Source organism: Homo sapiens, chromosome 3 (genome assembly GCF_000001405.40).
Source record: "Homo sapiens chromosome 3, GRCh38.p14 Primary Assembly".
Lineage (NCBI taxonomy): Eukaryota > Metazoa > Chordata > Mammalia > Primates > Hominidae > Homo > Homo sapiens.
Genome location: NC_000003.12, coordinates 126,368,589 through 126,392,583, shown reverse-complemented (window position 1 = coordinate 126,392,583; position 23,995 = coordinate 126,368,589). Strand labels below are relative to the sequence as shown.

The window sequence follows — 23,995 nt, the reverse complement described above, 5'->3', positions numbered from 1 at the left end:
GAGAAAAGGACATGGGGGTGCCCCCAGACTCTGTAGGACGATAGGGAATCAAGCTGGGAGATGCTGTAGCCTGGAGCGGAGCCCAAAGCCATCGCAGGCGCGTTCTGGCAGAGAACATGCTGTGATCCGAAGTCTGCTATGCACTCCTGACCGGTAGGCAGCACCTGGATCGCCTGCCTGCACCTCCCGCCTTCCACACAAGATCTTTGGCTTCTGCCGTGGGAGGAGGGACTCAGAAACCAGGGGGGTCAGGAGTAGTCCTGTACCCAGACAGGGTATTCAGAGGTCTACCAGAACGACAAAGCCTGAGAGAGCAGCTTGTATTTCTTTCCTGCAGCACCTGGTCTCACCGTTGTTCTACAGCACAGCAGGCCAGGCTGGATTGGAGAGTCACCTTCAAGGTAAAATGCCTTAGATGCCCAGATCTCTCACATGGGGGTTTTCCTTTTGCTGAGAGGTGGTAGGTTATGGAGAATGACAGCCATGTCTACCGTGCTTCACGGTGAGTCAAGGGCTTTCCACAGGGAGGGCAGTGATATGAGCTCTTTGCACTACTTACACTGACCTAGGAGCCCCTGCATGGGTTGTGGCCTGCAGGACCATGTTTCAGGGGAAAGCTGCAAAGTCCTTAAAGAGTGTCTGAAGCCCCATCCCCCCTCCCTCTCTGGGAACGTGTCCCCAACCAGTGCCTGCCAGGTGCTCTAGCCTGGCATGCTTTTTATATTTTGTGAGCAATCACATTAATCAGATTGCTTTCCTGCCAGCTCAGATGGATGGATAATTTGATTGGAGTCTAGGAAAAAACAGGGATGACTTTTGGCATCCACATCCCAGGCATATCACATTTGACCACAGTGTCAGAGAAACAGTGCTAGTGGAATAAAAAAGAAGGTCTTGGAGCCCAGAGTAAGACTGGGCTCATATGTGGTCACAAGAGACCACATATCCTATGAAGGCGCCTAGATGGAATTGGGGAAACAGGCAAATGGGCAGTGGTGGCTAATGGAGATGGGATTTTGCTCTTTAGGGTGATGAAAGTGTTCTAAAATTAGACTATGGTGAACATTAGATTTACTCTGAATATAGTAAAATGCACTTTAAGTGGGTGAAGTTTAGATATGTAAATTATATCTCAATAAATATTTTCAAAAGGAGAAGAAGAAAGGGGTCCACATTGCCAAGTGCTCTTGAGTGGCCAAGTGAGAGGGACTGAAGAGTGTTCATTGGATTTGCCAACAAATCGGTTGACCTTGGTGTGAGCAGTTTCAGGATCTCCTGGGGGACTGAGATGGATGGGTGACGAGGAAGAGGAGAAAGTGCCCTGGACAGCACTTTTGAGGGTCCTGGCAGTGGCTCTATCTTGCTCCCTTATGGGTGTGCAGACCCACAGTGGGCCTGGAGAAATGACCCTGGTCTTCCCTGCAGCTCTGGTGGAGGCTAGGTCATTAAAGCCAGACCCCCAGTGCCACAGTTCAGAAGGCAGGATGCTGGGGCATGCAGCATGGCAGGTGAGAAAACTGCATGGCACTGGCCTGGTTCCCAGGTGTGCTCCTGGGCGTGGTCTCCACAGGTGGGGGTGGGGTGCAGGTCCCAGGTGGTTAGGGGACTGTGGTCAGCCAGCCAGGAAGAGGGGTTGAGACTAGACCAGGTTGTGGGCGTAGAGGAAATGAAAGAGACATACAGAGAGAGAGAGAGACAGAGAGAGAGTGTGTGTAGAGGCAGAAGGCAAGCTGGAGGGACCATGGTGCTGAGGAGGCTAGGGTGGGATCCAGATACAGGAGGAAGGGTAGGAGATGTGAGCATCAGGGGTGCTCCCCGGGAGGGCGTGATTTAGCCCCAGGAGCCCGGGGAAGGTAGTCTTTACACTAGTTTCAGGTATCATTTAGGTTGTATTTTGCTTCAAGAAACAGAAAGCTTCACCAGAAATGACTTACAAAGAAACTTCTCATGAGTAGCCCCTCAGAACACCTCTCCTCATATCTTAGCCAAAAAACTGCATGCCTAAACTAATCGCTGCCAGGGATAGAAGCTGGGGACTCTGTGGGAGGCCCCATCCCGGTGCCATAGGGCTGGTGCCTGGACGGCATCCGTTGTGTTAGGGAAAGGGATGGGGGGATCTGAATGGATTCTGGCTTGGCCATAGCACCCACTCCATGACATCCCCACCCAGGTGTCTGCAAGCCCTGAGGTAGGCAGCTCGCTCTGGGTTCCCTCGTCATCTAGCCCAGGAGCGCCGCTCTCCAGCGGATGCCTGGGGAAACCGCGTATGTGCACATACACCGAAAACTATGTCTGCGAGGCGAGATTATGGCTGATTATTTTTTTCCTATTGCTCGCTCTCATTTTTCTTTACAATGAAGTTGTAGACATGTATTACTTCTATAATAACAAAACAGTGAAAAGTAGAAGAAATTGCTGGGGGGCACCGTGACCCCGGGTGATGCCCGAGCTCTGTGGCGCTGTTGACGAGGACTTTCGGGTCTGGCCTCTTCCCGCGGCCCCCTCGGTGCCCTCTGCCTGGAGCCCACTTGGTTTCCAGGCTTTCCCCTCTGCCGAGCCCCTGCCAAGGGCCTAGCCCCTGTCCTCCTCCCATCTCTTCCGCAGCCAGTCTTTCCGTCTCAGCCCCAGCCTCGCCACCCCTGCGCCCAAGTCTCGGCTGATATGTCCTCTTTTTGCCCCCAGAGCCATGATCACTTCACGAGGACCTCTGCTGGTGTCTCCTCTGCTGTCCTGGAGGTCCCAGAGGACAGGAGCTGTGTCCTGTGACCTGCTGACCGCAACGCGTAGCACCTGGAAGGTGTTCATAGGATAGTTCCTCAAATGAGTCAATGGACAGTGAATGGGGAATGGAGTGGACGGTGGACGGGAGGGCAAGTTGTTTCCATGAAAGGAGGAAATTCCTGTGGAGGGAGTGGACAAGGCATGCCTGTTTGAGCCACGCGCAGATGAGTGAGTGGGTGGACGAGGCACGGACTGCGGGGAACCCGTGGGTGGGCGAGGCGTGGACGGCAGGACGCTGTGGGTGGGTGGACGATGTAAAGGGGGCTGGTGGCCGAGGCTATGGGCAGACTACGCGCTCGGCGGGAAGAGCAGGGCGCTAGGGGGCAGACGGGCGAACCGGCCGCGCGCTGTCCGCATCCGCCACGGCGTGGCGCCCCGCACCGTCAGCGCGCCGGGCGGCGAATCCCCTTTCTGCCCAGAAGGGACTTACAAAGAGGAACCTTTTGTCCCAGGCGGCGGTGAAAGGTTCCCGGTGACGCAGGCTTGTAAACAAGTTGAAAACCGGCCCTGGTCAGGCGTCAAGACGACCGCGCAGGCAGTGCTGCCGCGACCTGGGCTCGCTCGCCCGCTGCCGGGTCCCCACAGTTCCTAGCTCGCAGGCGGGGCGCGGTACCAAAGGGGCGCCGGAGGGGCCAGAGACCCCTCCACAGGCCCCAGTGTCCCTTCCTTGAGTTGTTACAGGAATCCACAGAGATATGTTGGGCAGGGCCTCCAAGCCTACAGAGCCCCTCTGCCAAAATGCTAACACATTTTTCTTTTTCTTTTTTTTCTTTTTTTTTTGGCAGCGTTTAGCTCTGTTGCCCAGGCTGGAGTGCAATGGCGCGATCTCGGCTCACTACAACTTCCGCCTCCCAGGTTCAAGCGATTCTCCAGCCTCAGCCTCCTGAGTAGCTGGGACTACAGGCACCCGCCACCGTGTCCGGCTAATTTTTGTATTTTTAGTAGAGACTGGGTTTCACCATGTTGGCCAGGCTGGTCTTAAACTCCTGACCTCAGGTGATCTGCCTGCCTTGGCCTCCCAAAGTGCTGGGATTACAGGCGTGAGCCACCACGCCTGGACCACTCTCACACTTCTAACCCTGCCTGATTTCAAACCTTCAGCCTGATTTTATGCATAATTGAGATTTGTGTGTTTTGTTTGAGACAGGGTCTTGCTCTGTGGCCCAGGCTGGAGTGCAGTGGTGTGATCTCGGCTCACTGCAGGCTCAACCTCCGTGACTCAGGCGATCGTCCTGCCTCAGCCTCCTAAGTAACTAGGGCCACCACAGGCATGCCACCACAGGCATGCCACCACACCTGACTAATTTTTGCATTTTTTTGTAGAGACAGGGTCTAGCTATGTTGTCCAGGCTGGTCTTGAACTCCTGAGCTCAAGTGATCCTTTCACCTTGGCAAGTCCCAAAGGGCTGGGATTACAGGAGTGACACCTCCCCCCACCCCCCGCCACCAACCACATCCGACTTCAAATCCAGCCCCACCCCAGCCTTGGCTTCATCAGATCCAAATTTATTCCAAATCCTGATTGAGGCTCACATTTTGAACCCAATCTTCCCCAAACCCTAACCCAAGGTGTCCACCCCAACTCTAATAAGGTCTTTTAGTGCAAAACCCGTTACTAACAGGATGCTAATTAGAGCACCTGGTAAACTTATAGCAACATACTTTCTTTCTTTCTTTTTTTTTTTTTTTTTGAGACAGAGTCTCTCTCTGTCACTGAGGCTGGAGTGCACTGGCCCCATCTCGGCTCACTGCAAGCTCCACCTCCCGGGTTCTCCTGCCTCAGCCTCCGAAGTAGCTGGGACTACAGGCGCCCGCCACTATGCCCGGCTAAATTTGTTTTGTATTTTTTGGTAGAGACGGGGTTTCACTGTGTTGGCCAGGATGGTCTTGATCTCCTGACCTCGTGATCCGCCCGCTTCAGGCTCTGGAAGTGCTGAGATTACAGGCGTGAGCCACCGTGCCTGGCTTATAGCAACAAGCTTTCACCCAACCCCAATGTGAACCAACTGCAAACCCAAACATAAATTGACAGACTCTCCAAAATGCTGTTTGCAAAAATAGACAAGAAATGCATGAATACATTGTGGGTGTAAAAAAATCCCAATGATACAACAATGAAGGTGGTAAAAGCTGGACGTTCCCCTTTACGAGCCACCACGTCCTCCTCCATGTATGTATTCTTTTTTTTTTTTTTTTTTTTTTTTTTTTTTTTTGAGACGGAGTCTCGCTCTGTCGCCCAGGCTGGAGTGCAGTGGCGGGATCTCGGCTCACTGCAAGCTCCGCCTCCCGGGTTCACGCCATTCTCCTGCCTCAGCCTCCCAAGTAGCTGGGACTACAGGCGCCCGCCACTACGCCCGGCTAATTTTTTGTATTTTTAGTAGAGACGGGGTTTCACCGTTTTAGCCGGGATGGTCTCGATCTCCTGACCTCGCGATCCGCCCGCCTCGGCCTCCCAAAGTGCTGGGATTACAGGCGTGAGCCACCGCGCCCGGCCCATGTATGTATTCTTCAACAGCAACTTGCTTGGCTTTTCTTACTGGCAAACCTTCATGGAATGGAATCATTTGCCCTTACTCTCCAGGGACTGGCTGCTTCTGCTCAGCGTTGTGAAATCCATCCACATGGATGCATGTGCCTGGGGCTGATCCTTCATTATTGCTGCATAGTAGGATTGCATTGTACCAATACAGCAAAATTTATTTGTTCCTTTTACTGTTGATGACATTGACTTGTGTCCAGTTTTTTCCTTTTTAAAAACAATGCTTCTAAAACCAATGGTGTACATGTCTCCTGATCCACAGAAAGAAGGATTTTTCTTGGGCACACATTCTTGAGTGGACCTGCTGGGTCATCAGAGGTACATGTGTTCAGTGTTACTAGATAACGCCACACTGTCTTCCAAACTGGTTGTACCTATTACACTTCACCAGCGGGGACTTTTATCTACTTCCTTGCCAACACTCTATTGCCAAGGCTTTTAATTTTTGCCAGTCTTTTAGGAGAGTCCTATCTCATTGTGGCTTTAATTTGCATGTCCCTGTTGACAATAAGGCCAAACATCTTCCCACCTGCTTATTAGCTTTCAGCTTTCCTCTTTTGTGAAGTGTCTCTTGAAGTCTTATGCACTTCCTATTGGGTTATTTGTCTTTGCCCTGCTAATTTGCAAGAGTGCTTTATGTCCTGCGGATACTTGTCCTTTGTCAGATACATATCTTCATTTTCCAAAAACCTTACCGATTTGCCTTTTATAGTTTGGTCTTTAATTCACTTGGAAATTACTTTTGTGCATAGTGTGAGACAGAAGGTTAATTTCACTTTTTCTCCATTTGGATAAGCAATTGCCTATCATATATAAAAAAGTCTATCCTGGGGCCAGGCGCTGTGGTTCACACCTGTAATCCCAGCACTTTGGGAGACTGAGGTGGGCAGATCACTTGAAGCCAGGAGTTTGCAACGAGCCTGGCCAACATGGCGAGACCTGTCTCTACAAAAAATATAGAAATTAGCCAGGCGTGGCAGCACATGCCTGTAATCCCAGCTACTCAGGAGGCTGAGGCATGAAGATCGCTTGAATCCGAAAGGCAAAGGTTGCAGTAAGCCAAGATTGCACCACTGCACTCCAGCCTGGGCAACAGAGTGAGATTCCATCTCAAAAAAAAAGAAAAAAGAAAAAATGTATCCTTTGTCCTCTGGTATGCACTTTTATTGGTGCCATATATTAAGCATCTATGGATACATAGGCCTGTGTCTGGGTCCTATTTTGTTTGACTGTCATCTGTTCCATTCTGTATATTATTATCACTAATCCTCACGACCCTGTGTATATCATTTTTCTTTTCTTTTTCTTTTCTTTTCTCTCTCTTTTTTTTTTCATGAGGGGGACAGAGTTTTGCTCTTGTTGCCTAGGCTGAAGTGCAATGATGCAATCTTGGCTCACTGCAACCTCCGCCTCTGGGGTTCAAAGGATTCTCCTGCCTCAACCTCCAGAGTAGCTGGGATTACAGGTGCCTGCCACCACATCCAGTTGATTCTTGTATTTTTGGTAGAGACAGGGTTTCACCATGTTGGCCAGACTGATCTTGAGCTCCTGACCTCAGGTGATCCACCCGCCTCGGCCTCTCAAATTGCTGGGATTACAGGCGTGAACCACCGCATCTGGTCAAATGTCATTTTCTAACAAACAAACACACAGATAATTCCATCAGTGCCATAAATATGTTTGTTTTCCTGCAGATATCCCGCCTGCATCTGCCCTCCCTCCCGCTCTCATCTTGACTGATCAATTTTTTCGGCTTCTTGTATAATTGCCATCATAGGACCTCCCTTCCCCTCCTTGTGTTAGATTCATGCAAGGAAGTGTCTTTTGCTTCCTTGACTTACTTTTATATTTTAGTGGATCATTCTTTGAGTAACTTTCTGAAAGAGAATCGCAGGAGGTAAACTTTAGAGAGGCAGCATGTCTAGAAGTTCTCCTGCTTGGCGGATTAGCTGGGCACAGGATTCTAGTTTGGAATAAGTTTGTCCCTGGGATGTTGAAGGTATTTTAGAGCTGTTTGTGACAGATAGTGTTTTCCACAAATAGCCAAAGCAGTATGTCCAGTCCTGCATGCTCTTTCCGAAACTTGTTATTCTCCATTAGGACGCAGAGACTGTTTCCCATGCCCTTGATCTGGGTGGGTCTTTGGAACTGCCTCGACACACACAAGGTGGCAGAAGTGAAGCTGCGTGACTTTCTTTTTTTTCTTTTTTTATTATACTTTAAGTTCTAGGGTACATGTGCACAATGTGCAGGTTTGATACATAGGTATGCATGTGCCATGTTGGTTTGCCGCACCCATTAACTCATCATTTACATTAGGTATTTCTCCTAATGCTATCCCTCCCCCAGCCCCCCACCCCCTGACAGGCCCTGGTGTGTAATGTTCCCCGCCCTGTGTCCAAGTGATCTCATTGTTCAATTCCCACCTGTAAGTGAGAACATGCGGTGTTTGGTTTAATGTCCTTGCGGTAGTTTGCTGAGAATGACGGTTTCCAGCTTCATTCATGTCCCTACAAAGGACATGAACTCATCCTTTTTTATGGCTGCATAGTATTCTGTGGTGTATATGTGCCACGTTTTCTTAATCCAGTCTATCATTGATGGACATTTGGGTTGGTTCCAAGTCTTTGTTATTGTGAATAGTGCCGCAATAAACATATGTGTGCATGTGTCTTTATAGTAGCATGATTTATAATCCTTTGGGTATATAACCAGCAATGGGATTGCTGGGTCAAATGGTAATTCTAGTTCTAGATCCTTGAGGAATCACCACACTGTCTTCCACAATGGTTGAACTATTTTACACTGCCACCAACAGTGTAAAAGCATTCCTATTTCTCCATATCCTCTCCAGCATCTGTTGTTTCCTGACTTTTTAATGATTGCCATTCTAACTGGTGTGAGATATTATCTCATTGTGGTTTTGATTTGTGTTTCTCTGATGGCCAGTGATGATGAGCATTTTTTCATGTGTCTGTTGGCTGCATAGATGTCTTCTTTTGAGAAGTGTCTGTTTATATCCTTTGCCCACTTTTTGATAGGGTTGTTTGTTTTTTTCTTGTAAATTTGTCTGTGTTCTTTGTAGATTCTGGATATTAGCCCTTTGTCAGATCAGTAGATTGCAAAAATTTTCTCCCATTCTGTAGGTTGCCTGTTCATGCTGATGGTAGTTTCTTTTGCTGTGCAGAAGCTGTTTAGTTTGATTAGATCCTATTTGTCTATTTTCGCTTTTGTTGCCATTGCTTTTGGTGTTTTAGTCATGAAGTCCTTGCCCTTGCCTATGTCCTGAATGGTATTGCCTATGTTTTCTTCTAGGGTTTTTATGGTTTTAGATCTAACATTTAAGTCTTTAATCCATCTTGAATTAATTTTTGTATAAGGTGTAAGGAAGGGATCCAGTTTCAGCTTTCTACATATGGCTAGCCAGTTTTCCCAGCACCATTTATTAAATAGGGAATCCCTTCCCCATTTCTTGTTTTTGTCAGGTTTGTCAAAGATCAGATGGTTGTAGATGTGTGGTGTTATTTCTGAGGCCTCTGTTCTGTTCCATTGGTCTATATCTCTGTTTTGGTACCAGTACCATGCTGTTTTGGTTATTGTAGCCTTGTAGTATAGTTTGAAGTCAGGTAGCATGATGCCTGCAGCTTTGTTCTTTTTGCTTAGGATTGCCTTAGCAATGTGGGCTCTTTTTTGGTTCCATATGAACTTTAAAGTAGTTTTTTCCAATTCTGTGAAGAAAGTCATTGGTAGCTTGATGGGGATGGCATTGAATCTATAAATTACTTTGGGCAGTATGGCCATTTTCACAATATTGATTCTTCCTATCCACGAGCATGGAATGTTCTTCCATTTGTTTGTGTCCTCTTTTATTTTGTTGAGCAGTGGTTTGTAGTTCTCCTTGAAGAGTTCTTTCACATCCCTTGTAAGTTGGATTCCTAGGTATTTTATTTTCTTTGTAGCAATTATGAATGAGAGTTCACTCATGATTTGGCTTTCTGTTTGTCTGTTAATGGTGTAGAGGAATGCTTGTGATTTTTGCCACTGATTTTGTATCCTGAGACTTTGCTGAAGTTGCTTATCAGCTTAAGGAGATTTTGGGCTGAGACGATGGGGTTTTCTAAATATACAATCATGTCATCTGCAAACAGGGACAATTTGACTTCCTCATTTCCTAATTGAATACCCTTTATTTCTTTCTCTTGCCTGATTGCCCTGGCCAGGACTTCCAACACTATGTTGAATAGGAGTGGTGAGAGAGGGCATCCTTGTCTTGTGCCAGTTTTCAAAGGGAATGCTGCCAGTTTTTGCCCATTCAGTATGATATTGACTGTGGGTTTGTCATAAATAGCTCTTATTATTTTGAGATACATTCCATCAATACCTAGTTTATTGAGAATTTTTAGCATGAAGGGCTGTTGAATTTTGTCGAAGGCCTTTTCTGCATCTATTGAGATAATCATGTGGTTTTTGTCATTGGTTCTGTTTATGTGATATATTATGTTTATTGATTTACATATGTTGAGCCAGCCTTGCATCCCAGGGATGAAGCCAACTTGATTGTGGTGGATAAGCTTTTTGATGTGCTGCTGGATTCAGTTTGCCAGTATTTTATTGAGGATTTTCACATCGATGTTCATCAGGGATATTGGTCTAAAATTCTCTTTTTGTGTGTGTGTCTCTGCCAGGCTTTGGTATCAGGATGATGCTGGCCTCATAAAATGAGTTAGAGAAGATTCCCTCTTTTTCTATTGATTGGAATATTTTCGGAAGGAATGATACCAGCTCCTCTTTCTACCTCTGGTAGAAGTTGGCTGTGAATCCGTCTGGTCCTGGACTTTTTTTGGTTGGTAGGCCATTAATTATTGCCTCAATTTCAGAGAGGCTGCATGACTTTCAAGGCTAGACCATAAAAGGTGATATGGCTTCCTCCTGGTGTTCTCTTGGGAAGCTTTACCTTGGAAACCAGCCTCCATGTAGTGAGGAAGCCCTGGCCACATGGAGGGGCCACATGTGGTGTCCTGGCTAAAAATCCCAGCTAAGGTCTCAGCCCACAGTCAGCGTCGATTCCCAGACAAGTGAATGAGCAATCTCTTAGGTAATGTCAGCCCCCAGACTTTGAATCATCTCAGCTGATGCTGAGCAAAGCAGAAATCTGCTATCCCCTCCCAGCCCCATGCAAGTGGAAGATTTGTGAGCAAAATAAACATTGTCATTGTTTTAGCTACTAAGTTCTGGCATCTTTGTTATGCAGCCAACATGACTGGGACTCCCCTCTGTATGCCAGCTACTGGCTAACTAGACCCTGGGGAAATGGGGTGGTGAGCAGGCCGTTCCCTGCATCTAAGGAGGTCAGAATGGATTCAATGCAACCTAAGTACACTTGTGAAGGCCAGGTGCAGTGGCTCACGCCTGTAATCCCAGCACATGAGAGGATTGCTTGAGTCCAGGAGTTTGAGGCTGCAGTGAGCTATGATCACACCACTCTACTCCAGCCTGGGCAACAGAGTGAGACCCTGTCTCAAACAATAAATAGAAAAATACACTTTCAAGACAAAGTAACAAATGTCAGAAGCCGTGTTTGTTTATTTTTGTTTTAATTTTAAATTAAATTTTGCAGAATTTTACAAAGCCCTTGCCTCTATGATGAGTGCAGCCCTCTGGAAGAATGCTTTGAAGACAAAGCAAGGCAGAGCACATGGTCCCCTATGTCTCTTGCCTGTGTCACTGTATTCTTTAAAAGAAAATGACCCTAGTCCTTGCCTTTTTTCTCACATAACATCTGATGAGCTTAGTGATTATGCCTCTGTTATCTATAAGCAGATATACTCTTGCACCCAAACTCTGATGGGACTGGATATACTGCACCTGCACCACCTGGGTATAAGCCATGCGCAGAATCACTGTGCAGAAATGGCCTGATAGAGCCTTTCAAAAGGGCTGCTCCCAGCTACGGGCCTCGGTCTATAGTCCTCAGTAAGGCTTCTACATAAAACTGACTTTAATTCTCTAAAAGCTTGACTTTTTTTAGTAGATACACTTAAAAATAATATAAAAGAGTGAGTGATTCCCTGTCCCCCAGTGCCTTAACATTTGTTCCAGTTTCCATCCGGACACTTTGGATAGCCCTGAGCTCACTGGTGTGCTCTCCTGAAAGGTAGAGGGAGGGATGGTGATAGTTTCAACCAGGCTCACCCAGCCCATGAGGAGGAATTGGTTAGTGATGTGGGGTGACAAGAACTTGGAGAACACTGCCCAGCAACGCTTTTGCCTGTGCTGCCCCCCAGAGCTGTGCTGTGGGGCCTGTCCTATGCATGCCTCTCCTCTGCCGGCGACGAGCCCAGCCACCTAAAAGGCTGTGAGCACAGATGGCTTTTTCCTCCTCAGCCCAGAAGAGAGTGAGAACTTGGGAACGCTTGTGGAGCTGAGCTAGAGAGCCACGTTCCTAAGACTTGAGGTGGCAAAGTTCAGATCGGATAAGGGATTGCCGGACCCTGTGTACATCCAGCTTAGTGACCCCAGAAACACAGTTGCCCTGTGCAGTCCCTGTCACCTCTGAGGAAGCCAGAGAGGTCTGTCCCTTGGAGAAGAGTGCGGCTGCTGTGAAGGGGACTCTGGCCAGCCCAGGACCAGCATGCAAAGGCCCTAGGGTCCAGGATGAGCTGCCTCTCACCTGCCGGGTGCTTCTCTACCCTGACCCTGCAGTGGAGCGAGGTGGGCAGGGGCTTGAGCTGCAAGAGGAGGCTTTGGGAGAAACATGGGGGGCAGGCCACAAGCACAGGTGAGAATCATTCCTCCCTCATTTGGAAAAGCGAGATGGAGCATCCCCCAGGCCAGGCATGCTGGGAATGCGGCAAGGAACAAAAAGAGCAGAATCGTCCCTCACAGAGCTAACCTGATGCAGGGAGACCCAGGCAGCTCGTCCTGCAGGCAGCAGGCTGGGAGAAGGGGCCCGCCAGGGGCTGTAGCCGCCTGGGTGGTGGGGCGTTCTATTTTACAGAGTGGCCACGGGGTCTCCCGGGGCACAGGGACCTGAAGGAGGAGAGGGCATGGGTCAGCCACTGCCTGGGAGAAGAGGATGCCGGGCAGAGAGCCAGCAAGAGGGCGAGCCCTGACCCAGAGCGGGGCCGAGGGACTGGGCAGGGTCAGTGTGGTTGGTGCAGAGCCAGTGAAGGGAGTGTGGTGGGCAGCCCAGAGCCCACAGGGTCGCTGGCCACTGCCATGCTCCTCACTCCCCAGGGAAAGGGAGAACACTCATAGGGGCAGGATCTCACTCATAGTTTTTTGGTTTGTTTTGTTTTTTTTCTGGGAGAGGGTCTGTCTCTTTGGCCCAGGCTGGGGTGCAGTGATGTGATCACAGCTCACTGCAGCCTCAAACTCCTGTGATCCTCCTATCTCAGCCTCCAGAGTACCTGGGACTAGAGGCACATGCCACCATGCAACTGGTTAATTAAGAAAATTTTTAGAGATGGGGTGTTGCTATGTTACCCAGGGTGGTCTCAAACTCCTAGCCTAAAGTAATCCTCCTGCCTCAGCCTCCTAAAGTGCTCGGATTACAGCCATGAGCCACTGTGCCCAGCCTCACTCATAGTTTTGAAGGGTCACTGTGGCTGTTGGGTTGAGAAGAGACAGGAAAGCAGGGTAGACACAGGGAGCTAACCTGATGCAGGGAGCATCATGTGCCTGGTGGAAGGCGACTGCAATGGTCTAGGAGAAGGGTGACAGTGACCTGAAGCAGGGAGGGGGGCTGTAGAGGTGAGGGAAAGTGACCAAACCCTAGCTATGTTGTGAACGATTTGCTAGATGCAGTTTATAAGACAGAGGAGTCAACGAGGACCCAGTGATGATTTTGGCCCTAGCACCTGGAAGGACAGAGCTGCCTAGGAGGGACCAGAGCCATGGGCTCTGGATAGTTTTTGTTTCCTGGCCTGTGGCCCTATTTGTTACTCAGCAGGGCTTCAACTGACCCATGCATCCCACCCTGAACTAACATATCCTGCATGTTGCAAGGGCTAGGTGTTGGTGAAAAAGATGACTCAGATGTAGATCTTCAGTTCAGTCAGTTCCTCACTCAGCAAACATTCATGGAGCTCCTCCTATGTGCCAGGCACGGTAGAAGGGGCTGGGGTGTGACAGTGAGCAGAGACATGGCCTCTGCCCCCAGGGAGCTTATAGCCCAGCAAGGGAGCGAGATGGTAATCAGGCAGAGAAATGAGAAGGTGAGTGAGAAAAGGGCTTCTCTGCACAGGAGACCCTGCACGCTGAGCTGCTGGCTGCACGTTCTCCCCTCACAGAGGGAGCATGAGGAAACAAAATGAGACTTACCTAAAGGGAGGTCAGAGATGGCCTTCTAAAGAGCAGCTGTTGAAGGTGAAGTCTGAAAGCCAGTTAAAGAGCTGGCCTGGCAAGATCTGGGTATAGCGAACTCTAGAAGGGAAGGTGCAAGAGTGACATCCCAGTGGTAGGGGAGGCCTTGGCGAGCCTGAAGAACAACAGGAAAGAGTCAGTCAAGTTTTGCTCTGGAAGAAAACACTTGAAAATATAGCGCTTAGAACAACAACCATTGGTTTTGCTCACGATTCTGTGGATTGGCAATTTGGGCTGGCCTCAGCTGAGACATTGTTCTGCTGGGCTGGGCCTGGCCCTGGCCCACGTGTCTGAGGTCAGCCACCAGTCGGCAGAGCTGAGTGGCCTTGGAGAGCCTTAGTTGGCATGGCCTGTCTCTGTTCCACATGGTCTCTCCTCCCCCATGGGCTTGTCACACACAGCTGGGCAGGGGTCTTCGGTGTGAGGGTGGAAGTGGCAAAGCCTTGAGACCCAGGCTCAGAGGGGTTCAACATAGCTTCTGCCACAAGCTGTGGACCAAAGCAAGTCACAGGCCAGCCCGGATCCAGGGGATGGAAGACTCCATGTCTGCACAGGAGGAGCTTCATGGAATTAAGGACAGACTGCATCTTCCCTGGCCCATGGGGCTGGAGCAGAGCAAGAGGAAGGATGTGGTGACGGCAGGGGTCCCTACTGCTGGGCTGTCACTCTTGTTCCTTCCCTTCTAGAGCCTTGGTTACCCTGATCCTGCCAGGCCAGCTTTTTTTTTTTTTTTTTTTTTTGTGACAGAGTCTTGCTCTGTCACCCAGGTTGGAGTGCAGTGGCGCAATCTCAGCTCACTGCAACCTCCGCCTCCTGGGTTCAAGCAATTCTCCTGCCTCAGCCTCCCGAGTAGCTGGGATTACAGGAGTATACCACCTCACCCAGCTAATTTTTGTATTTTTAGTAGAGATGGGGTTTTGCCACATTGGCCAGGCTGGTCTCGAATTCCTGATCTCAGGTGATCCACCCACCTCAGCCTCCCAAAGTCTTGGGATTACAGGCATGAGCCACTGCACCCAGCCCACCAGGCCAGCTCTTTATTGGCTTTTAGACTTCACCTTCAGTGGCTGCTCTTTAGAAGGCCTTCTTGCCATTGAGGTCACAGTGAGGAGTCTGTGTGTTTCCACCTGCAATGGAAAACCACTGAATGGGGAAAGACAACTTAATTAACATTACAAAAATCCAAGCAAATTGGAGAGGACAACGGTAGATATGGAAGCCACTACTCTGTGGTCCGGTTGAGGAGGAGAGGACTGGGACAAAGACGGAGGCACTGGGGAGGGAAGAGGTAAAGGAGAATTTGCAGGAGAAGGCCATGCATCAGGCATGGGATCAGGAGATGAGAGTGTTGGAGATGAAGTCCTGGGTTTCTGGACTCCAGAGTCTCCTATGCAGACAACTGGGAACCTGGCTTCAAGATCGCACAAGCCTTTGCCACTCATCCCCAGTATTGGAGTCTGCACCCGCTTAAGCCCAAGAGAAGCCAAGGGGTGCTGTCTGCCTGAGTGTGGTGGGGATGTGGACATAGCATGGACTCAGCCTGGGTGTCCGCAAATGTGTGAGTGAGGCCTTAGACCTGAATGTGTCCAGGGCAGGAAGGGAAGGGCAGTAGACTCCATTTTACTCTTGGCCTGAGTTCCACAAATATTAGGGGTGAGGCTGCTGGGGTGGGAGAGTGCCTGAGAGAAACCCATGTAGAGGTAGCAGACACGTGGCTGGATCCGTGATTGGAATTCAGCTGGCAGATCCTGGCAGGAGTCAGAAATTTGGAAGTCGCTACCCAACAGATAAAATAAAAGCCACAAACACTGATGAAGTCATTTGGGAAAGGCATACCTCAGGGCATGATATAGTGCCTGGCACACAGGTGTTTATCAGGGAAACAATTCAATGAGAGCAAAGAAAAAACACTTCTTTCTTTGCTAGGAACACCTATGCTGCATGAGTCAGAAGCAAGTATCAGAAGATGATGGATCTCATTACTTAGAGAAAAGAAGGCCTCAAACCCATTGCACATGGGTAGGGAGGATGAAAAGAAACACCCACAGAGTTAAGCCACAACACTGGGAAAACTGATGGATTTGTGAACATGGGAGATGAACTTGACAAAGACTCCAGATGCACCAGGAGTGGGATATGAATGGGAAGGATGGCCCTCCAGACAGCTGGCAGAGGACTTCCCCTTTAGGGCAAAACACATGGTTGAAATTTACCAGCTAAGATCCCAAAGGGGAGTGAAGAAGCCGGCTGGGGTTGGAGAGCACCCTCTTCTGAACTGAGGAAATTGAACATGAAAGCTCAGCAGCAGCCACAGCTGGGGCATTGTTACAGATCTCAGAGAAAAACGCCAACTCTCAGAAGCTTTCTGGCAGAAAATAAAAGTTACTTTCAAAGATGCAAGCTTCAGATTTACAGCCTCAGAGGGACCAGAACCCTCGGGGAAAAAGAACAAGACAGACGGATTTCGCGTTTCACAGCAGCAGAGGGGCAGGTTCCCGGCTGGCAGAGCACATCTAGTGTTTGCAGCAGGAGGCCGTGTCCTCCTAGCCGTGCCCTGACCAGGAGGATTTCTGGTGCAGCCAGCATTTTGCTCCTCTATTCTGCAGACGAGGAAACAGAGGCCCAGAGAGGTCCAGACCTAGGAAGGCTGCACGCCAGCCGGCCTCTGAGCAGGGGGCTGGGGCCGCCTCCACTCTGTTTCCTCTGCTTCCCAGGAGGCCACTGTCCCCCGGGAGGCCCTTGATGCAGCTCCACTGCTGTGGTCACTCCTGCCTGTCACAACTCCTGCCATCCCTGGGGCCCAGACCTCCCCAGCTCCTGTCAGGCCATCCCATCTCCGGCCCTGCCTCTTCTGCTCAGCCAGACCACCTCTGGCCCCTGCTGGGGGAATGGCGGGGCTAAGGCACCTTCCTGAGCACATGGTGCCCAGGCCGTCCCTTCCCCCCCGCCACAACTGCGAGGCAGCCCTGTCATGGCCTCAACTCCCGCAAGGTGAAATGGAGACGTGGGGAGGCCTAGGGACCTGCAGGAGCCCACACCGCCAGGAGAAGTGCAGTTGGGACCTCCCAAAGTCAGACTGGAGTGGACCTCTTGCCCCCCTGATGGCCCCTCCTGGATCCAGGGCCCAGTGTTCTCTTTTCTCTACAAATGTCCTCCCTCAGGGCAGGGCAGGGTAGGGTTTGTGCTTCTGTCTCTGAAACATGTGGCTCTTTTTTTTTTCCTTTTTGAGACAAGAGTCTCTCTCTGTTGCCCAGGCTGGAGTGCAGTGGCATGATCTTGCCTCAATGGCAGTGGCGCCATTCTCCTGCCTCAACCTCTGGAGTAGCTGGGACGAGAGGCATCTGCCACCTTGCTCGGCTAATTTTTTGTATTTTTGGTAGAGTCGGGGTTTCACCGTGTTAGCCAGGATGGTCTCGATCTCCTGACATCGTGATCCGCCCTCCTTGGCCTCCCAAAGTGCTGGGATTACAGGCATGAGCCACTGCGCCCCAGCCAAAATGTGACTCTTTAAGGGCTTGGGCTCTGACTTTAGACTACTTGGGTTTGAATCCTGGCTCTGTCGTCTTCTGGCTGTGTGGCCCAGGGTGAGTTACTCACCCTCTTTGTGCCTCCATAACCTTCTCTATAAAACAAGTCAATGAGTGTGCCTGTTTTACAGGGCTGGGCAAGCATTAAATGAGTTATTACTCGGGAATCACTTGGAACAGAGCTTGGCCTGGCTGAGCAGCCCATCCCAGGCAGGATCCTGTTAGATTCGTGCCTTGGCTGTCACTCGCCTCAGACACCCTTGCCCCAGTTACAGAAAGAGTCTCCAGCTGGTCTCTGGCTTCTGCCTTATCCTCCCCAACCCCACACCCGGATTCTGTTCTTGGTGGGCCAAGAGGGAGGGATCCTTGAAGACATGTTAGACCACGTCATCTCTCTGCTCAAAACCCTCCAATGGCTCAAACTCACTCAGCGTTGCATCCCCAGCAGGCTCTCTGGCCTCACTGTCTCTTCACTCTCCCTGTGCCATTGCAGCCGCACAGGCCTCCTCCGCCTCGCAGTTACACCAGGCATGCTGCCTCAGAACCCTTGTACTGCCTGTTTCCTCTCCCCTTACTCTACCTCCAAGATTTCAGTCACCTCAGTGAGGCCTGTTCTCACTGGCCTGCTCCACATTGTGGCCCATAGCTCTAGCCTGACACCCCCAGCACCGCCACCTGTCCATGATCACTTCTCATGTCTCCCTCTGACACTCCCTGTCACTTACTGCCTGAGTCTATTGCTTGCTTTCTGTCTTCCCCTCACACAATACAAGCTTTCTGAGAGCAGAAGTCATTGTCCATGGTGTTCACGGACGTGGCCCAAATGCCCGACAAGAGCTGGCACATGACCGTGACTCTGCATGAAGTTTGACTGAATTAGGAATTTCAGAATTAGCAGAGTGTCTCCTGCAAATGCAGATTCCTGGGCCCCTGGCTCCGCCTGTCTGGGAGTGAGACTCAAGACCGTCTTGTTAACCTTGCTGCCAATCTGCCAGTTGAATCTGATACAGTTACACATTCTCGTGTCATCGCATGGAAAGAGTTGCACTCCCGAGTGCAGAGACCACAGACCACATCTGACTTCTGAGGCTCTCTAGCCCTTCAAGTCCCTGAATTTTTCTGGCCTCTCTAACAGTGGCAAAATGCCCAGTGCTGTATGAGAAGCATTTGCTTTTGCAAGAAGTGGCCAGAGGCATGGAACAAGTCCCAGCCAGGACCGGGACCAGATAAAGGCCCGTTTCCAGGTGGCTGAAGAGGTCAAGGCCTTGAGGAACGAGGATGGCCTGCAGGCTGGTGAGGGGAGGTGGCCGATGACTCCCAGGCAGGATGATCCACAGGCCTGGGCAGGTCCAGAGAACAGCTGGTGACCCCGAGCAGAGTAGGGGGCCTGGCTCACAGGGTTGACCACCCTACAGGAGGAAGCAGAGCTGGTGCAGGGCTGCTGGCACGTCCTGGCATTACGGGAAGAAAGGGGCTAGAGGTTCAGCATGATTCTGCCCCTATGGTGCTCACATCAGGACTCGGCACTGTAGGATGACGCGTCAAGCCAGGGGAGGCAGAAACCAGAGGGAGAGGGAGAGATCGCAGGTCAGGGGCGCTGAGTAGGGGGAGTGGGTGCAGGGGGCTGGGTGCAGATGTTGAAGAGAAGCCAAGACCCCTGCCCACAAACACAGCACCTCTCAAGGCACTAAAATGTTGTAACCTGAATTCAGAAACTTATTCTCTGTCCCAAGCCTGAAAGGAGAGTGGACACCACTTCTCTTGCACCCGCAATGAGCTCTGCTGTGCTCTCCTTTCCTTTTCTATTTTATTCTTGTCTTTGTTGATTTTCTTGACAGTGCTGACTACACTTTCCTAAATGTGCAACTGGAAACAGCCCTGGCCTGGCTAGTGACATGTAGGGACTGTGAGGTCCAGGCCCGGCCCCTTCCCACAGGCCTTTCCTTGAGCAGGCAAGGCAGGGAGAGAGGAATGTCCAGGTCTTCCTCCTCCCTGCAGGTTCTGGCTGGTGGCCTGACCCCATGGGCCACCCTGGTCTGGGCTCTGCCTCTGAGTTTTTCCTTTGTCTTTAGAATATTCAAGCACAACTTCCCCACTCTTTTGGTAACACACCCAGGAGGCCCTGGCATGGATGGAGCAGCTGGGAAAATATTCCAGCCTGGGCAAAGGGCACTGCCTGAACACCCCAGATACCCCTGACTCCCAGCGACTGCAGTCGCTGGCCCTCCTTGGTGACCTCTGGGCTTCTCATGGCCAGTAACAGAGGGGACACCTCTGTCCCATCCCTCTGCGGCACCTGCGCCCTCCCGTGGTTAGATACTGTGAACGTCTCTCACCCTTGGGTCTGTGCTGGAACCTGCTGGCTCCAGGCCTGTCTGCCTGAAACCTGGTCTCTCTCCACTCCACCCTGCCTCTCTCCAGCACAGTTTAGCACCTTCTGCCTTTCAGAGTTACCAAAGAAAGGCAAAACAAAACCTGTTTCTCAACCATGTCCAATGCACCTAGTCCTGAGGTTCTGTCTCCAAAATATGTTCTCAAGGCCATTTGCATCTCCATGGCCACTACTGGGGTAGAGCCCCCACTCCCTCGACTCCCATCTGTCTCCTGTACTGCTCAGCTCCCTGTGCTGCCCTGTCCTGGCCCCCACAGTGTCCTGAGGCTGACCTCTAGGACAAGACACACTGACTTCTGGTTTGGTTTCATCAATAGGAGGCACCAGCACACTGGGGTAGAGGCAGCAGAGACAGCTCAGGGCACCTGGCTGCCTACTCCTCTGTCTGGGCGAGGTTCCAGCAGTGCCTGTCGGGTGGCTCCTATGCGTCCACCTACCGGCCCTGTCCTCAGCTCCTCCAGGCCTCTGGGTGGGGTGGGAGCCTCCACTCCCGGGAGCTGCACCCTCTAACCTGCCTGCCTCTGTCACGAGCCCTGGCATGACATTTATTCTGTTCGGCCTGCTTGAGTGTGCTGGTTTCTCCTGGGGGGCACCAGCTGATACATCCCGACAGCCCTTGTTTTATTTTAAATTGTGGTAAAGTATACGTAACATAAAATTACTGTCTTCATCATTTTTGAGTGTACAGTTCAGTACATTAAGCATATTCACATTGTTATGCAACAATTACCACCATCCATCCACAGAACTTTTTCATCTTGTAAAACTAAAACTCTGTCCCATTAAACACAGACTCCCCCAAAGCTTGGTGACCACCATTCCACTCTTCATCTCTGTGAACCTGACTGCTCTAGGGACCTCGTATAAGAGGAATCACATGGGACTTGTCATTCCATGCCTGGCTTGTTTCCCTCAGCACCATGTCCTCAAGGTTCATCTGTGCCTTGCATATGACAGATTTCCTTCCTCTCTAAGGCTGGTCATGTTCCATTATGTGGATAGAGCACATTTGGCTTCTTCATCTGTCGATGGACACTCGGGTGCTTCCACCTTTTGGCTACTGTAAGCCACACCATGATGTGCATCGGTGTGCTCAGCTGTGCTTTTGCACATGGCACAAAGGAATCTTAAAAAACTGAAGTCAGATCAAGTCTCTCTCTTGCTTAAACACGTCAGCGCATTCCCGTTGCTCTGAGAATACCAACAAAAATCTTTATTATGGTCTACAACAGTGTTTCTGAGTCGCCAGTTGCAGCCACTCCGTGGGTCAGGATGGTTAGCTGCATGGCTGCACCCTCGCTTCATAGAAGGAGGGCAGAGGTGCATGGAATGGAGCAAGAAGCTGTGCACCCAGGGCTCACACCACCGCAGGAGCCGGCGAGCATGACGGTGTGATGCTTGCATTGCCGGAAGACACCCGCAGGTTGAGCCAGGTGATTGCTCACTGTGGGGCGTGTCCTGCTTGTTGCGACCCAGGCCCTCCTCGCAGCTTCCACAGCTCCCACTCATCGCCCACATCTGCTGCTCTCAGCCTCAGCGTCCTGCAGAGCCACCAGCGTGCTGGCACTTCCCCGCCCCCAGCCCATGCCTCCGCATGGGTCACCCTTCCCTGGTTCCTCTCAAGACAGCTCCTTCTCAGCTCCAGCAGGACCTCTGTGGAGAGGCCACCCCGACGCAGCCCACCTGAAGCAGCTTCCCTTTGCCTCCATGCTTGTCTGGTTGGAATGTTCATGAGGACAAAGACCGTGCTGTGCTCCCTGCCCTTGGGCTGGGCGCAGGCTGGGCTGGCACGCCGTGGGCCTCCACAAAGAGCTGTCCTAGCACTGAGCACCACTGGGACTTCTCCATTCTCTGCATGGAGCCCCTGTATATCCCGCAGTGGAATAAAAGCTCCCAGAAGGTAGATCCTGCCTCTGTGGCGAATGCTGTGTCCCCAGAACAGTACCAGGCACATAGTAGGTACTCAGTAAATGCCTGTTGGGTGAATAAGCGTATGAACTGCATCTGTAGCCAGGAACAGGGGGATGTCAGGGAAAAGCGCCCCCAGGAAGGTGCATGCTCTGGGCTCTGGGCTGGGGGCTGGAATGCAGGAGTGGGTATGGGTGGGGGCAGCTGAGGGTCCCTGGGTCTCAGGCTTGCAGACTCCTTGCCTGCCCTCTGCTCTGGTGTGCCTGGCCAAGCTCCCCAGTCTCCCTAGGCAGCCCTGACAGCTTGCAGGTTCCACCAAGGCTCCCACCTGACAGCTGCGGCTCGGCTGCCACCGAAGCAGAAAGTGTAGACGCTGTGAGAGCCTGGCCCTGCCTCTACGCCCTGTAGCTATGTCACTGAAGTCCCTCTGTGCTCTTGGCTTCTCTCAGCTTCTTCCCTAGAACTCAAGCAGCAAAGCCTCCTGTGAGGACTGAAGGAGGCAGTGGCTTTGTAATCGACTGGGTGCAGTTTGATATCACCAATAATGAATTGTCTCCAGGTGCAGGGAGAGCAGGTACTCACTGACGTGGCTCTTGGGGAGGCATAGAGCCCCCCATCCCATGGTGGCTCCTCCATTACTAGGGACAACAGTGGTGCCTGGAATCCCAGCCATAGGACCTCTGCACCTGGTATGTTCTCCTGGGTCCTCCTGTAAACAGTAAAGGTCTCTGGGCAGGCCTGTGCAGGGAGGCTCAGCCTTGGGCAGCGGACGGTCTTTCTCTTCTTGCAGGTGGGGACAGTGTAAAGGTCTCACACATTGTGGGGAAGGTGCTGAGGGATGACAGGCAACTGGGGCTGGCCTGGCCATGGCTTTGACACATCTGAGATCTGACCTCGGCACAGGCCCATCAGAATAAATTAAAGCTGCATGAACGAGGTGGATGGTAACATTAAACCATGACAGTCCCAGAAGTCATGTGAACATGACTATGTGACATCAGTGAAAAATGTGACTAGATACACACACAGTCTTGAAGCAGACGGGTTCTAAATAGAACACCAAAGGCAGAATCCGTAACTATATTTGGAAATACAACAAATTCTGCAACTCCCAAACGATTGCTGGCCATAGATCCAGGCAGAGTGTGAGGGTCCTTCCCATGCAAGTAGATCGTGCACCTCAGCAAGGAAATGGGCAAGACTCCTCTAGGAAGCACAGGCCCGAACAGGCCCTGTAAAAGGAAGGCCCATCTGCCTGTCCAATATTTCAATAGTATGAACTAACCTTCAACTTCATCAAGTGTCAAAGAGATGCAAATGAATACAATGACACTTTTTAACCTGTCATACTGACAAAAATTGACAGAAAAAAGTGTCACTTTTTACAAAGTGAGGCCACCCAGTGGTGACAATGACCATGAGGACAGGGAACTACGGATGCAGGGGTCTGCATGAATGTAAGGTTTAGAGGGCAACAGGGTCACAAATATCACCCCTTGAACATTTGATGCTCAAATCCCACTTTCAAATTCTCTTTAAGAGATAGTAGGATCAATATACAAAGACATATGCCCTAGGCCAATTACTGCAGTTTTGCATATGAGAGTAAGAAATTGGAAATAATATACATGTTCTTCAAGCATGGATTGGCTGAATCAATTATGAAGCATCTACCTCTATGGATCACTAGGCAACCTTTAAAAGTGATTGATATTAATGTATCATTATTGCCATAGAAAAAATATAGAAATGATATAATAATATATTATTCTGTCTTTAAAAGGCTTTGGAAGCAACCCAATTGTCCTTCAATGAGTGAATGGATAAACAAAATGTGGCCTGTCCATACAGTGGCATATGATTTAGCTTTAACAAGGAAAGAAATTCTGACACATGCTACAACATGGGTGAACCTTGTGAACATTACCCTAAGTGAAATTAACCAGATACAAAAGGACAAATACTAAATGATTCCCCTTATATGAGGTACCTAGAGCAGTCAAATTCATAGAGACAGAAATTACAATGGTGGTTGCCAGGGGCTAGTGGGAGGGGGAATGGGGACTGGTTTAATGGGGACAGAGTTTCAGTTTTGCAAGATGAAAAGGTTCTGGAGATTGGTTGTGCAACAATGTGAATATAATTAACCCTACTGTACACTTAGAAATGGTTAAGATGGTAAATTTTTTAATGTGTCTTTAACCATAATTTTTTTTTTTTTTTTGAGACGGAGTCTCACTCTGTCGCCCAGGCTGGAGTGCAGTGGCGCGATCTCGGCTCACTGAGAGCTCCGCCTCCGGGTTCACGCCATTCTCCTGCCTCAGCCTCCCCAGTAGCTGGGACTACAGGCCCCCACCACCATGCCTGGCTAATTTTTTGTATTTTTTTTAGTAGAGACAGGGTTTCACCGTGTTAGCCAGGATGGTCTTGATCTCCTGACCTCGTGACCCTCCCGCCTCAGCCTCCCAAAGTGCTGGGATTACA

General features: G+C 50.4%; 1 long non-coding RNA gene across 1 annotated transcript, besides 2 other annotated features; it reads left to right on the top strand.

The window, feature by feature from the left end:
• The first annotated feature begins 335 nt into the window (after positions 1 to 335).
• Positions 336 to 15,959, top strand: LOC107986044 (uncharacterized). The gene is made up of 3 exons (XR_001740563.1): positions 336 to 401; positions 2,683 to 2,949; positions 15,611 to 15,959. It is a non-coding gene; the product is annotated as an uncharacterized LOC107986044 (long non-coding RNA).
• Positions 2,504 to 3,052: an enhancer, noted in NCBI's record as "H3K4me1 hESC enhancer chr3:126108375-126108923 (GRCh37/hg19 assembly coordinates)". NCBI's record gives its function as "activates a minimal SCP1, AML or CMV promoter by ChIP-STARR-seq in naive H9 embryonic stem cells {active_cell/tissue: H9 hESC(naive)}" and the evidence as "EXISTENCE:reporter gene assay evidence [ECO:0000049][PMID:30033119]".
• Positions 15,842 to 16,454: an enhancer, noted in NCBI's record as "H3K4me1 hESC enhancer chr3:126094973-126095585 (GRCh37/hg19 assembly coordinates)". NCBI's record gives its function as "activates a minimal SCP1, AML or CMV promoter by ChIP-STARR-seq in naive H9 embryonic stem cells {active_cell/tissue: H9 hESC(naive)}" and the evidence as "EXISTENCE:reporter gene assay evidence [ECO:0000049][PMID:30033119]".